Genomic DNA, 13,920 nt, shown 5'->3' with positions numbered 1-13,920 from the left:
AAATCTTGGGGATCTCAATGTGGCTGAGTTCCTGGTGGAAACCCTGCACTCTCCCCTGAGCACCCACAGAGAAATGTGAGTTCCCCACTCATCTCCCTGGAAAGCAATTAGAGGCATAATTAAAATGTCACTCAGGTCCCTCCCTCTGTCCCTAGACAGGCTCATTCGTGTGGGAGTTATGAGCGGGGACTTCTGGCTGCCCCAAGGGAAGAAGAGAGAGGGAGGAGAGCTGGGGCCCATTGGGAGACGGGTCCCTAGGGGCTACAGTCTAGCTCAGGGATGACTGGGGAGAGGAAGGTACTGTTCAGGCGAGGACCAGGCAGATGAGAAGGGGCTGTGCCTCCCAGACACAGTGCAACCTCCCAAGAGAGAGAAATGACTGTACCTACACCGACTAACCAGGGACTCCCTAGGGGCCCAGAGAAACCAGCCGCCCCGAGCCCCAGAATCTGTTTCTTGACCATTGATGGAAAAGCTCTGAGCATTCAAGAAGACCCGGGGACCTGGCTTGATTCACAGCTTTAAGGAGCATACCTTCTGGCTGGGGGTTCAGTGGACCCAGGAGACAAGGATGAGATGAACACGCAGAACCAGCCAGGCCACAGAGCTCTGTTAAGATTTGCTGGGAGCCAGGCGCCGTGGCTCACACCTGTAATCCTAGCACTTTGGGAGGCTGAGGCAGGAGGATCCCTTGAGACCAAGAGTTTGAGATCAACTTGGGTAACAGCGAGACAACATGTCTACCAAAAAATAATTTTTTTTTTTTGAGATGGAATCTCGCACTGTCGCCTGGGCTGGAGTGCAGTGTCACGATCTCAGCTCACTGTAACCTCCGCCTCCCAGGTTCAAGCAATTCTCCTGCCTCAGCCTCCCGAGTAGCTGGGATTATAGGCGCCCACCACCAGGCCCAGCTAATTTTTTGTAATTTTAGTAGAGACGGGGTTTCACTATCTTGGCCAGGCTGGTCTCGAACGCCTGACCTCATGATCCACACACCTCGGCCTCCCAAAGGGCTGGGATTACAGCCATGAGCCACCGCAGCCAGCCAATAAATAAATTTTTTAAAAAAGATTTGCTGGGTAGCCTTGGGCCAGTTATTTTCTCGCTCCAATTGGCTTCAGTTTCTCCATCTTTAAAATTAGGCAGTAGCTCAGTTGTTTTCAACTTTTTACCAGAAGCTTTGTTTGCAATGAGGTCATGCTATTTTTTTTAATTGATTTTTTTTTTTCTTTTCCGAGAACGGAGTCTCGCTCTGTTGCCCAGGCTGGAGTGCAGTGGTGCAATCTTGGCTCACTGCAGCCTCCACCTCCCGGGTTCAAGCAATTCTCCTGCCTCAGCCTCCTGGGTAGCTGGGATTACAGGTGCACGCCACCACACCCGGCTAATTTTTGTTTGTATTTTTAGTAGAGACGGGGTTTCATCATGTTGGCCAGGCTGATCTCAAACTCCTGACCAGGTGATCCGCCCACCTCGGCCTCCCAAAATGCTGGGATTACAGGTGCGAGCCACTGCACCCAGCCTTTTATAATTGATTGATTATTCATTTATATATTTATTTATGAGATGAGGTCTTATGTTGCCCAGGCTGGTCTCAAAATCCTAGCTTCAAGCAATCCTCCCACCTTGGCCTCCTCCCAAAACTCTGGGATTACTGACGCAAGCCACCACACCTGGCCTCATATGAGGTCATACTTTGAACCTCTATGGAGGCTGAGCCAGAGCTTCCCTGGGTGGGGTTGGATTTGGGGGGTCCTTACTCTTTCCCCGTTGGTCTCTGAGGTTCACCTGAGAAACCTAGGGCCCCGCAGGGCACTTCTTGCTTTAAAGATGTTCTGTGGGCCCTTTCTGTCTAAAGGAACCAGGAACTACTTCTGGGTAATAATTTGGTCATTTAAATTCAGATCTCAGTCACCATTTTCCAAAATGGGATGGGACCCAAAGCCTTCTGGCCCGATGATGTCCTGGCACCAGCCCCGCCACCTGCCCCAGCGGGTCCAGAGCATCTCCCTCCACGTCCCCCATGTGGATAGGGCTGTGCGCCCGTTTACTGGGCACACGCCGCTCTGCACCGCTGTGATACGGGCCATATGTCTTAGCAGCTATGACCGCCATATGCTAGGCATTGTTCTTTGCATTGGCCTCAGTTCATTCTCATAACAATTCCGTGAGGTCCATGCCATTCATATCACCCCCATTTTACAGGGGAAGCAGCTAGAGGTGAAAGAACCAGCCCACCCCACAGGTCTAGGAAACAGAGGAGCTGGACATGGAATGACAAGGTGGGGCCGGTGGCCTGGCTTGGCCAAGCAGCACAGAGACGGGGCTATCAGCCTCTCAGAGTGGGGCATGCCCATCTCCCACGGTTCTGTGTGCCCAAGGGAAGTGTCAGGGAGGCACTGGCTGCTCCAGCCCCCTTCAGCGGCAGCTGCTGCTTCCCATAGGTCACCTCTGCCCACCAGGCGGCCAAGGCCCTGCCCTTCTCAGGGTTGCTCTGCCTGGCCTCTGGCTCTGCTGGGCAGGACCAGGGCTCTGGGTTGGGCCCCTTGCCTCTCAAGCCTGCAGCCTCGGGCCTGTGCTCCTGCTGGCATCCAGGCTACTCCTGCGTGGTGTCCATCTTTGACCCCAGAGTTACACACGCCCAGCCACTCCTCCTCTCTCCACCAAGGTGGCACCACATTCCCAGAAGAAAGTAGAACAAAGGGACAGAGGCTGTCAGGACACATGAAGGCAGCAAGGGATTCTCAGGATCCTCAAAGTTTAGGATCTAGTTTCCTCTCCCTGCTCATTTTATTTTACTTTATTTATTTATTTTATTTTATTTAGACGGAGTCTTGCTCTATCACCCAGGCTGGAGTGCAGTGGCATGATCTCGGCTCACTGCAACCTCTCCCTTTCAGGTTCAAGCGATTCTCCTGCCTCAGCCTCCCGAGTAGCTGGGACTACAGGTGCCTGCCACCACACCCGGCTAATATTTGTATTTTTAGTAGATATGGGGTTTCACCGTGTTAGCCAGGCTGGTCTTGAACTCCTGACCTCAAGTGATCCGCCTGCCTTGGCCTCCCAAAGTGCTGAGATTACAGGCATGAACCATTGTGCCTGGCCCCTGCTCATTTTAGAGATAGGAAGACTGAGGCTGGGAGGACAAGAGATTAGCTAAAGTCCCACGAGTAGAGCAGAGCAGAGCAGAGCAGGTGGAATTCTCTGGGCTGGCCTGGGTGCTGCAGCCTGGGAGGTGAGGGACAGGTTGAGGGATGGCGTGAGCAGCAGACTGCGTGCAGAGCTGGGAGTGGTATAGCTGCAGGGGTGGCTGGAAGATCCCTGAACGCAGGGCGAGATGGAGGGGTGGGACTTTCCAGGTGTGTGTGGCACTCCCCACCCCTGCCTGGCTCCCCTCGACCCTCATATGACAGACTCCCCAAGGCCCCCACTCCCTCCACACTTGGGCAGGTGCCCTTCCTGGCCACCCTTCACCCGCAGCACTTAACACGTACACGATCTTTCCCTGAGCCCTGAGGGCCCTGATTTAAGATGCCAGAAATAAAAGTTAGGAATGAAAATGGGAGACCTTATCTTTATTCTTCCCCTTTCCGATCTCCTCTAGGCCCCGTGGCTTCCTGCCAACAGACAGATGGGAGACTGGGAAGAATATTTTGGTGGGAGGGAGTGGTGCTTGCAGGCAGATGGATACTGGCTCTACCTCTAAAACCTGTTGCTCTAACCTACTGAGCTGCTGTTCTCCACAGAGACTCCCAGGAGAGATAGGAGGAGCCAAGGATAGCTGCCTTCCCTGGCCAGAATCCAACCCTAAATGACACTTGGCATGTTAAAACACACTTGTCAAGGCCACAGGGTTCTGATGAATCTTGTTTTCTTCTTCTGCCCTGCTTTCTTCCAAAAAGGATTAGAGGCAGCTTACAAAAATTCATAAAATACAATAGGATAAAAATAGATCAGAGAGAAAACAACACTGGAACACATGGTACAATGAACCAAGAGGGTAGGACACAGAAATGTTCTTTGGCTGGGGCTCCACAATCCTCAAAGGTGGACTGCAAACAGGATTCTGAGCTTCGTATCAGTCAAAACAAAGAGGGAAATCTGCCGGTTTTGAGACTCACAAAGTCCACAAGATTAAAACCAACCCTGGCCGGGTGCAGTGGCTCATGCCTGTAATCCTAGCACTTTGGGAGACCAAGGCGGGTGGATCACATGAGGCCAGGAGTTCGAGACCAGCCTGGTCAACATGGTGAAACTCCGCTTAAAATTAGCTGGGCGTGGTGGCAGACACCTGTAATCCCAGCTACTAGGGAGACTGAGGCAGGGGACTCACCTAAGCCTGGGAGGTGGAGGTTGCAGTGAGCCGAGATTGTGCCACTGCACTCCAACCTGGGCAACAGAGCAGGATTCTGACTCAATTAAAAAGCAAAATAAAACACTCAACCTAGAAGCAGCGCAGCTATTTCTGACACTAAAGTCTGAGAGGAATTCTCGTGGGACCTTTGAAGGGATGACGGGTAGTGTCCCAAGCAACACCGTCAACGACAGTCCTTTTTTGTTTTAGAGACAGGGTCACTCAGTCTTGCTCCGTCTCCCAGGCTGGAGTGCAGTGGCGTGATCTCGGCTCACTGCAACCTCCACCTCCCGGATTCAAGTGATTCTCCTGCCTCAGCCTCGCGAGTAGCTGGGACTACAGGCTCACGCCACCACACCTGGCTATGTTTTGTATTTTTTGGTAGAGACAGGGTTTCACTGTGTTGGCTGGGTGGGTCTCAAACTCCTGACCTCAAGTGATCTGCCTGCCTCGGCCTTCCAAAGTGCTGGGATTACAGGTGTGAGCCACCGTGCCTGGCAAATTTTTGTTGTTTATAAGCCACCCAGATTGTGGAATATTGTTTATAGCACTCCAAATGGACTAAGTAAGACACAGATACAGTCACACAAACCCTATCAGCTGCTTTCTACAGAGTTACTCAGGATAAATTGAGGGTTTGATACCAAGGCACAGATCAGTAAAACCCACTCTATGGAGGGCCAGACCCACATGATCCAAGAGGCACAATTTAGATCCTCCCAGAGGAGGGTTTCTCAACCCAACACTATTGATATTTGGGGCTGGCTCATTCATTGTTACTGGGGACTGACCTGCGCACTGTAGTGTGTTTGCAGCATCCCTGGCCTCCGCCTGGTAGATGCCAAGCACTCCCTCAAATTGTGACAGTGGAAAATGTCCTCAGACCGGGCTCGGTGGCTCATGCCTGTAATCCCAGCACTTTGGGAGGCCGAGGCAGTTGGATCACTTGAGCCCAGGAGTTCAAGACCAGGAGTTCAAGACCTGGCCAACATGGTGAAACCAGATCTCTACAAAACATATAAAAAATTAGCCAGGTGTGGTTGTGTCCACCTAGTGCTCCCAGCTACTGGGGAGGCTGAGGTGGGAGGATGGCTTGAGCCCAGGAGGTTGAGGCCGCAGTGAGCCGTGATCACACCATGCACTCCAGCCTGGGCAACAGGGTGAGACCCTGTCTCAAAAAAAAAAGTCCCCTGACATTGCCAAATGCCCTATTAGGGGCTGAAAACCACTGCTCATAAAGGAGGAGTGAGCCACTTTCTTAAAAGGTTGGTGCAAAAGTAATTGAGGGTTGGGTACGGTGGCTTACGCCTGTAATCCCAGCACTTTGGGAGGCCAAGGAGGGCGGATCATTTGAGGTCAAGAGTTCGAGACCAGCCTGGCCAACATGGCAAAACCCTGTCTCTGCTAAAAATACAAAAATTAGCTGGGCGTGGTGGCGCAAGCCTATAACCACAGCTACTTGGGAGGCTGATGCAGGAGAGTTGCTTGAACCCGGGAGGCGGAAGTTGCAATGAGCCAAGATCATGCCACTGCACTCCAGGATCTGTCTCAAAAAAAAAGAAAAAAAAAAGATGTAATTGCATTTTTTGTCGTTAAAAGTAATGGCAAAATATAAAGACCAATTTAAGACAAATAAAAGTGTTTTCAGGGCCGGGCATGGTGGCTCATGCTTGCAATCCCAGCACTTTGGGAGGCTGAGGCAGGCGGATCACAGGGAGTTTGAGACCAGCCTGACCAACATGGCGAAACCCCGTCTCTACTGAAAATACAAAAATTCGCCGGAAGTGGTGGTGTGCGCCTGTAATCCCAGCTACTCATGAGGCTGAGGCAGGAGAATCGCTTGAACCCGGGAGGCAGAGGTTGCAGTGAGCCGAGGTCGTGCTACTGCACTCCAGCCTGGGCAGCAGAGTGAGACTCTATCTCAAAAAAAAAAAAAAACAAAAATAGTTTTTAGGTCACATTCTTTTCTTCAAAGCAAAAAAAAAAAAAAAAAAAAAAAAAAATTTATGCAGTCCCTTGAGGAAAAATGTATATACTTACATTTTTTAATTGCCTGCTTGATTGAGAAAATTGATACTTCCTATTAGCCAGTAAAATGTTTCTACATGGGTATACTTGAGAAGTGGCTGTACCAAGGCAGCTTTCTAATTTTTCATCCTGAAGTCAGATCGAGGATTGTATTGAGAAGGTGGCATGGGCCAGAGGGCTTCTCCTTGCAGATCTAGAGTAGTGAGAGGACTGTGTCATCTCCTGGCTGACTTGAAGACAATCCTGCATCAATATCATTTCTCACAACCGTGGTTCTTCCCCAACCCTCCACCAAATCTGGGCTGACTGCAGAGAGTTTGCTGTTGTATTCTCTGAAAAAAAGAAAACTATAGTGCAGATTCCTTTATTCATCAGATATGTACTGAGCCCCTGCCATGCTCCAAGTACTCTGGGATGTGTTGGGAGGTATAACAGTAGGCAAAGCCAACACAGTCCCAGGGTGGCACTGTAAGTTGTGTGGACCCCTTCCTCCATAAAAATTGTGAAAATTATATTTATGACTCTGCTGCTATAAACCTACAGGTTTGCATATTTTCTTCTGTTTGTTGTTTTTTTTTTTTTTTTTAGAGGGAGTCTCGCTCTGTTGCCCAGGCTGGAGTGCAGTGGTGCAATCTTGGCTCACTGCAACCTCTGTCTCCTGGGTTCAAGCAATTCTCCTGCCTCAGCCTCCCGAGTAGCTGGGATTACAGGTGCGCCCCACCATGCAGGGCTAATTTTTGTATTTTAGTAGAGACAGGGTTTCACCATGTTGGTCAGGCTGGTCTCGAACTCCCGACCTCGTCATCTGCCCGCCTTGGCCTCCCAGAGTGCTGGGATTGCAGGTGTGAGCCACCACGCCCGGCTATTTTCTTCTGATTTTCAAATAAATTAGAACACGTTTGTGGGCCCCTAAAAGGGCAGAGGGCCCTGGCACTGTGTCTACTGAACTGTTGCCGAAGTCACCCGGATGGGCCTTGGCCTTAAGGGTTTGGGTTGGAGGGCTTGGGAAACAGACACTCAACAAGCAAGAAGATAAGTAAAAGCAGCAAACATGGTACTGATTTGAAGGAAACACACATCTAGATGCTGGGAGGGAGACTAACGCTCAGAGGGAGAATAACCCGGGGCCTCACTTTGGATAAGGTCACTGGGGGCTGGGTGTGGTGGCTCACGCCTGTAATGCCAGCATCTTGGGAGGCCAAGGTAGGAGGATTGCTTGAGCCCAGGAGTTTGGGCAACATAATGAGACTCCATTTCTGCAAAAAATAAGCTAGCTGGGCGTGGTGGTGCATTCCTGCAGCCCCAGCTACTTAGGAGGCTGAGGTGGGAGGATCACTTGAGCCCAGAAGTTGAGGCTGCAGTGAGCCATGATTGTACCACTGTACTCCAGCCTGGGGTACAGAGTGAGACCCTGTCTCACAGGTCATGGGGGGTAGGTGCTCCCTGAAGAAGTGGCATTTAAATCAGACTCAGAGGATGAGGAGTCCGGGAGGTGAATGGCGGGGACAAGCATGTTTAGAGAACCAAAGATTCACCTAGCTTTTGGCCTGAGTGTCTGGGCAGTTTCACTTTTTCTGAGCAGGAAAGACTGAGGGAAGAATGGATTTGGGGGAGTTTGAGTTTGATCTCAGATACATGGAAGCTGATTCAAATGGAAATGGCAAGCTGTTGTGAAGCGAGTGTTATGGACCAAATGTTTGTGTCCTCTCAAAACTCACACACAGAACCCTTAATCCCAATGTGATGGTATTAGGACTTGGAGGTCTTTGGGAAGTGATTAGGTTTAGGTGAGGTCCTGAGGGTGGAGACGCCATGATGGAATCAGTGTCTTTGTAAGAAGAGAATGAGGCCAGCGTTCAGTCTCTCTCTCCTCGCCTTGTAAAGACACAGCAAGAAGGTGGCCATCTGCCAGCCAGTAAGAGAGCCCTCCCTGGGAACAAAATCTGCCAGCACCTTGATCTTGGACTTCCTAGAACTAAGAGAAATAAGGGTCTGTTGCTTTTTTTTTTTTTTTTTTTTTTTTTGGAGTTTCGCTCTGTTGCCCAGGCTGGAATGCAATGGCACCATCTCATCTCACTGCAACCTCCGCCTCCCGGGTTCGAGTGATTCTCCTGCCTCAGCCTCCCAAGTAGGTGGGATTACAGACATGTGACAATATGCCCGGCTAATTTTTGTATTTTTAGTAGAGATGCGGGTTTTGCCATGTTGGCTGGGCTGGTCTCGAACTCCTGATCTCAGGTGATCCACCTGCCCCAGCCTCCCAAAGTGCTGGGATTACAGGTGTGAGCCACCTCGCCCAGCCAAACATCTGTTGCTTAAATCACTCTCTACAGTATTTTGTTACAGCAGCCCGAGCTGACTAAGACAAGGAGCAACTGTCTCTTTGTCTGCAGAAAACACATCCAGGAGTGGGAGCCGTCAAATGAGAACATGGAATTGAAAGCCTCACCAAAAGGAGAGAGCAAAGACAGCGCTAAGTCAGCGGCCAGGCGCAGTGGCTCACGCCTGTAATCCCAGCACTTTGAGAGGCTGAGTCGGGCGGATGACGAGGTCAGGAGATCAAGACCATCCTGGCTAACATGGTGAAACCCTGTCTCTACTAAAAATACAAAAAATTAGCCGGTCATGGTGGCAGGCGCCTGTAGTCCCAGCTACTTGGGAGGCTGAGGCAGGAGAATGGCATGAACCCGGGAGGCGGAGCTTGCAGTGAGCCGAGATGGCGCCGCTGCACTCCAGCCCGGGTGACAGACAGAGACTCCGTCTCAATAAAAAAAATAAATAAATTTAAAAAAGACAGCGCCGAGTCTGATGAGCCCCCGACCGGAGGGAAGGTCAGGATGTTGGTGGTGGGGTGGCCTTGGTCTGCCATGCTCTACTGAGTCTCCCTCCAGCACCCCCTCCAGGGTCAGGGCAGTTTATCCAGGCGGGGAGTGAGTGGGGCCCGCGCTTTGCCTCCCGCTCCCCCTGCCCACACTCACTGGGCTTTGTACACAAAGTGGGTACAATCGACTCTTTGTCAATAGTCGGGGCCTGGAGGGTTTTTCCATCTTACTCTCTGTCTGCCTCATGACCCAATAATTATTTAGAGATAACAGACCAGAGGGCAGTCTATGGTGATGAAAATAGAGTTTTTCTTCCAGACTCAGTTGACCCAAAGACAGATCAAACTTGTGACCCTGGACCCACCATCCATCAAAGTGAGCACCCTGGGCCACGGCTGGGAGAATTAATCCAACACAGTGTCCACAGTCAGCGGGCGGGTCCCTGCTCTACAGAAACTTCCCTCTCTCCTCCTCCCCATGGGGGTAGGGGGTTATGCGTCCCCAGGGGAACACAGGACCATCCGTTAGGGCATAGGAATAAATATTAAAACTTTGTTGATAATTGTGGTTTATCTTGACCTTCTGCATTTTCCCTGTTTTAGAAAGTACAGAATAAAGCAGGACTGGGGAAAGACGCCTCCTTTCTTGGAGCTGCTTTACCTTTTTTTTTTCTTTTGGGATGGAGTTTTGCTCTCGTTGCTGTGGCTGGAGTACAATGGCACAATCTCAGCTCACTGCAACCTCCACCTCCCGGGTTCGACCGATTCTCCTGCCTCAGCCTCCCAAGTAGCTGGGATTACAGGCATGTGCCACCACGCCTGGCTCATTTTTGTATTTTTAGCAGAGACGGGGTTTCACCATGTTGGTCAGGCTGTTCTCGAACTCCTGACCTCAGGTGATCCACTTGCCTTGGCCTCCAAAAGTGCTGGGATTACAGGCGTGAGCCACCGCGCCCGGCCACTTCTTTCTTTCTTTTTTTGAGACGGAGTCTCCCTCTGTGGCTCAGGCTGGAGTACAATGGCACGATCTTGGCTCATTGCAACCCCCACCTCCCAGGTTCAAGTGATTCTCCTGCCTCAGCCTCCCAAGTAGCTGGGATTACAGGCGCCCACTACCACACCTGGCTAATTTTTGTATTTTTAGTAGAGATGGGGTTTCACCATGTAGGCCAGGCTGGTCACAAACTCCTGACTTCAAGGTGATCCACCAGCCTCAGCCTCCCAAAGTGCTGGGATTACAGGTGTGAGCCACCGCGCCCGGCCTGGAGCTGCTTTTCAGCCAATTCTAGATTCTGGCAGTTGGCTGCCGGATGTCCTTCTTTCATGCCTTCTCTAGAGAGTGGCCCCAGGACTTTGCAGCCAGAGGGCTCTTTCTAAAATGCAAATCTCGACCAGTGCAGTGGCTCACGGCGCTGGAGTAATTCCAGACCTTTGTAATCCCAGCCCTTTGGGAGGCCGAGGCAAGAGGATCACTTGAGGCCAGGAGTTTGAGACCAGCCTGGCCAACACGGTGAAACCTTGTCTCTGCTACAAATACAAAAATTAGCCGGGCGTACTGGAGCACACCCATAATTCCAGCTACTCAGGAGGCTAGGCAGGAGAATCGCTTGAACCCAGGAGGTGGAGGTTGCAATGAGCAAGACTGCACCACCACACTCCAGCCTGGGTGAGAGAGTGAGACTCCATCTCAAAAATAAAAAATAAAGTAAAAATGCAAATTTCAACAACATCGTAAAGTGGGCTTTCAGTGACTCCTCAAGGTCCCAGGTTTGAGGCCCTTCGCAAGCCTGGACCTCCCAGTCCCCCGAGCCACCCCCAGCAGCCAGTGTGCCAGATCTGATCCTATAGAACCAGAAGTGGTTTCCTAAACGCATGGCGGCGGCTGGAACCATTGTCCCCCTTCTGCCTTGACAAGACTCTACATGTCTATGCCTTTGTTTCACTTCCTCCCAGAAGCTTTCCTGCAACACCTAAGTGAGAGCTCAGCAGCCTTGTAGTAGCTCCGCCAGTGCCTTCTGATGTCACTGCCTGCTTATTGGTTACGTTCCTCTCTATACTAGTTTCCTTATTGTTGCTGTAACAAATTACCACAAATTGGCCGGGTACAGTGGCTCATGCCTGGAATCCCAGCACTTTGGGAGGCTGAGGTGGGCAGATCACTTGAGATCAGGAGTTCAAGACCAGCCTATCCAACATGGAAATGATCCCGTCTCTACTATAAAACAATACAAAAATTAGCCAGGTGTGGTGGTGCATGCCTGTCATCCCAGCTACTCAGGTGGCTGAGGCGCAAGAATCACTTGAACCCAGGAGGTGGAGGTTGCAGTGAGCTGAGATGGCACCACTGCACTCCTGCCCTGGTGACAGAGTGAAACTCTGTCTCAAAACAAAACAAACAAATAGAAAACACAAATTGCCACAAATCTGGTAGCTTAAAACTGTACTTTTTTGGCCAGGCATGGTGGCTCACGCCTGTAATCCCAGCACTTTGGGAGGCAGATCACGAGGTCAGGAGATCAGAGATCGAGACCACGGTGAAATCCCATCTCTACTAAAAAATACAAAAAATTAGCCAGGCGCGGTGGCGGGCGCCTGTAGTTCCAGCTACTCGGGAGGCTGAGGCAGGAGAATGGCGTGAACCCGGGAGGCAGCCCTTGCAGTGAGCCAAGATTGCGCCACTGCACTCCAGCCTGGGCGACAGAGTGAGACTCCGTCTCAAAAAAACAAACAAACAAACAAACAAACAAACAGCACTTTTTTTTTTTTTTTGAGACAGGGTCTGGCTCTGTCGCCAGGCTGGAGTGCAGTGGTTCAATCTCAGCTCGCTGCGACCTCCTTCTCCTGGGTCCAAGCCAACCTCTCACCTCAGCCTCTTGAGTAGTTGGGACTACAGGTGCAGGCCACCACGTCCAGCTAATTTTTGTAGAGATGGGGTCTCATTATGTTGCCCAGGCTGGTCTCAAACTCCTGAGCTCAAGCAATCCACCCTCCTCCACCTCCCAAAGTCCTAGGATTATAGGCATGAGCCACCATGCCTGGCCCACAAATGTAATATCTCACATTTTTAAAGGTCAGAAGGCCCAGATGGCTTTCACTGAGCTAAAATCAAGATGTGGGTAGGTCTGTGTTCCTCCTGCAGGTTTGAGGGCAGAATCTGTCTTTTCTACTTCTAGAGGCCACCCGCATTCCTTGGCTCATGGCCCCTTCCTCCAGCTTCAAAGCCAGCAGTACAGCATCTTCACATCTCTCTCTGTTTTTTCCTCTCTTCCTCTGTGTCTCTCCCTTCCTCTGACCCTGCCTCCTCATAAGGATCTTTGTGGTGCTATTGGGCCCACTCAGATAATCCAGAATAATCTTCCCATCTCAAGATTCTTAACTTAATTGCATCAGCAAGGTCCCTTTTGCCTTGTAAGGTAACACACCCACAGTTTCTGGAAATTAGGATGTGGGCATCTTTGGATGGGAGCACATTATTCTACCGAGTGCAATCTCCTAGGCAAGTGGCTGTGTCTTGTTTGTTCTGTGTCTTCCAGAGACGGCAGCAGTTAAAAAATACTTTTGAGCGAGTGAGTGAGTGAATGAGTGAGTGAGTGAGTGAGTGAGTGAATGAGTGAGTGACTGAGTGAATGAGTGGGTGAATGAGTGAACAAGTGGGTGAATGGATGAATAAGTGAGTGAATGAGTGAGGGAATGAGTGAGTGAGTGGATGAGTGAGTGAATGAGAGAATGAGTGGGTGAATGAGAGAATGAGTGAGTGAATGAGTGAGTGAGTAAGTGGGTGAGTGAATAAATGAGTGAATGAGTGAGAGAATGAGTGAGTGGGTGAGTGAATGAGTGAGTGAATGAGTGAGTGAGTGAATGAGTAAGTGGGTGAGTGAGTGAATGAGTGAGTGAGTGAATGAGTGAATGGGTGAATGAATGAGTGAATGAGTAAGTGGGTGAGTGAATGAATGAGTGAATGAGTGAGTGAGTGAATGAGTGAGTGAATGGGTGAATGAGTGAGTGAATGAGTGAACGAGTGAGTGAATGAGTGAGTGAATGGGTGAATGAGTGAGTGAATGAGTGAACAAGTGAGTGAATGAGCAAATGGGTGAATGAGTGAGTGAATGAGTGAATAAATGAGTGAGTGAGTGAAAGAGTGAGTGAATAAGTGAATAGGTGAGTGAGTGAATAAATGAGTGAGAGTGAATAAGTGAGTGAATGAGTGAGTGGATGAATGAGTAAGTGAATGAGTGAGTGAGTGAGTGAATAGCTCCCCAGAGGAGGGAGGGTAAGAGCCAGACGTGGGAAGCCAGAGGACTGTGGTTAAGGAGGAGGAGACCAGAGTGTGACCCAAGCTGCCCCACCTGCCACCTCTGCCACTTCGGCTTTGCGGACAGGCCGGGCCTGCAGCTGTGGGTGACAGGCTCCTTTCTCACAGGTCATGGGGGGCAGGGGCTGAAGCCTGTGGAGTTTCCCTCTGAGCCCAGGGAGGCTTTGGGCAGCCTCTGCTCAGCCTGGAGAGGCTCTGGGCACAGAACCCCAGGCAGGGCGGAGGATGACCTGAAGACCAAGTGAAGAAACGTCGCGGCAACAGTGGACAGGGAATGCTATCTGCACACCCCTTTGAGCAGGGCTGACTCCCTAAGCCCAAAATGTCCTATTTCCTTGATATTTGGACCAAAAGTAGAATCTGCATCCTACCTACTCAGGAACAAGCAAAGGCTCAGTAGCTGTCTTG

General features: G+C 50.7%; 2 annotated features.

Moving 5' to 3' along the window:
• Positions 507–636: an enhancer, noted in NCBI's record as "active region_12694". NCBI's record gives its function as "activates an Ori minimal core promoter by ATAC-STARR-seq in GM12878 lymphoblastoid cells {active_cell/tissue: GM12878}" and the evidence as "EXISTENCE:reporter gene assay evidence [ECO:0000049][PMID:35858748]".
• Positions 10,903–11,252: an enhancer, noted in NCBI's record as "active region_12693". NCBI's record gives its function as "activates an Ori minimal core promoter by ATAC-STARR-seq in GM12878 lymphoblastoid cells {active_cell/tissue: GM12878}" and the evidence as "EXISTENCE:reporter gene assay evidence [ECO:0000049][PMID:35858748]".

Source organism: Homo sapiens, chromosome 17 (genome assembly GCF_000001405.40).
Source record: "Homo sapiens chromosome 17, GRCh38.p14 Primary Assembly".
Taxonomy (NCBI): Eukaryota; Metazoa; Chordata; class Mammalia; order Primates; family Hominidae; genus Homo; species Homo sapiens.
Note: the sequence above shows the minus strand (reverse complement) of the source record. Positions and strands in the feature narration are given on the sequence as shown.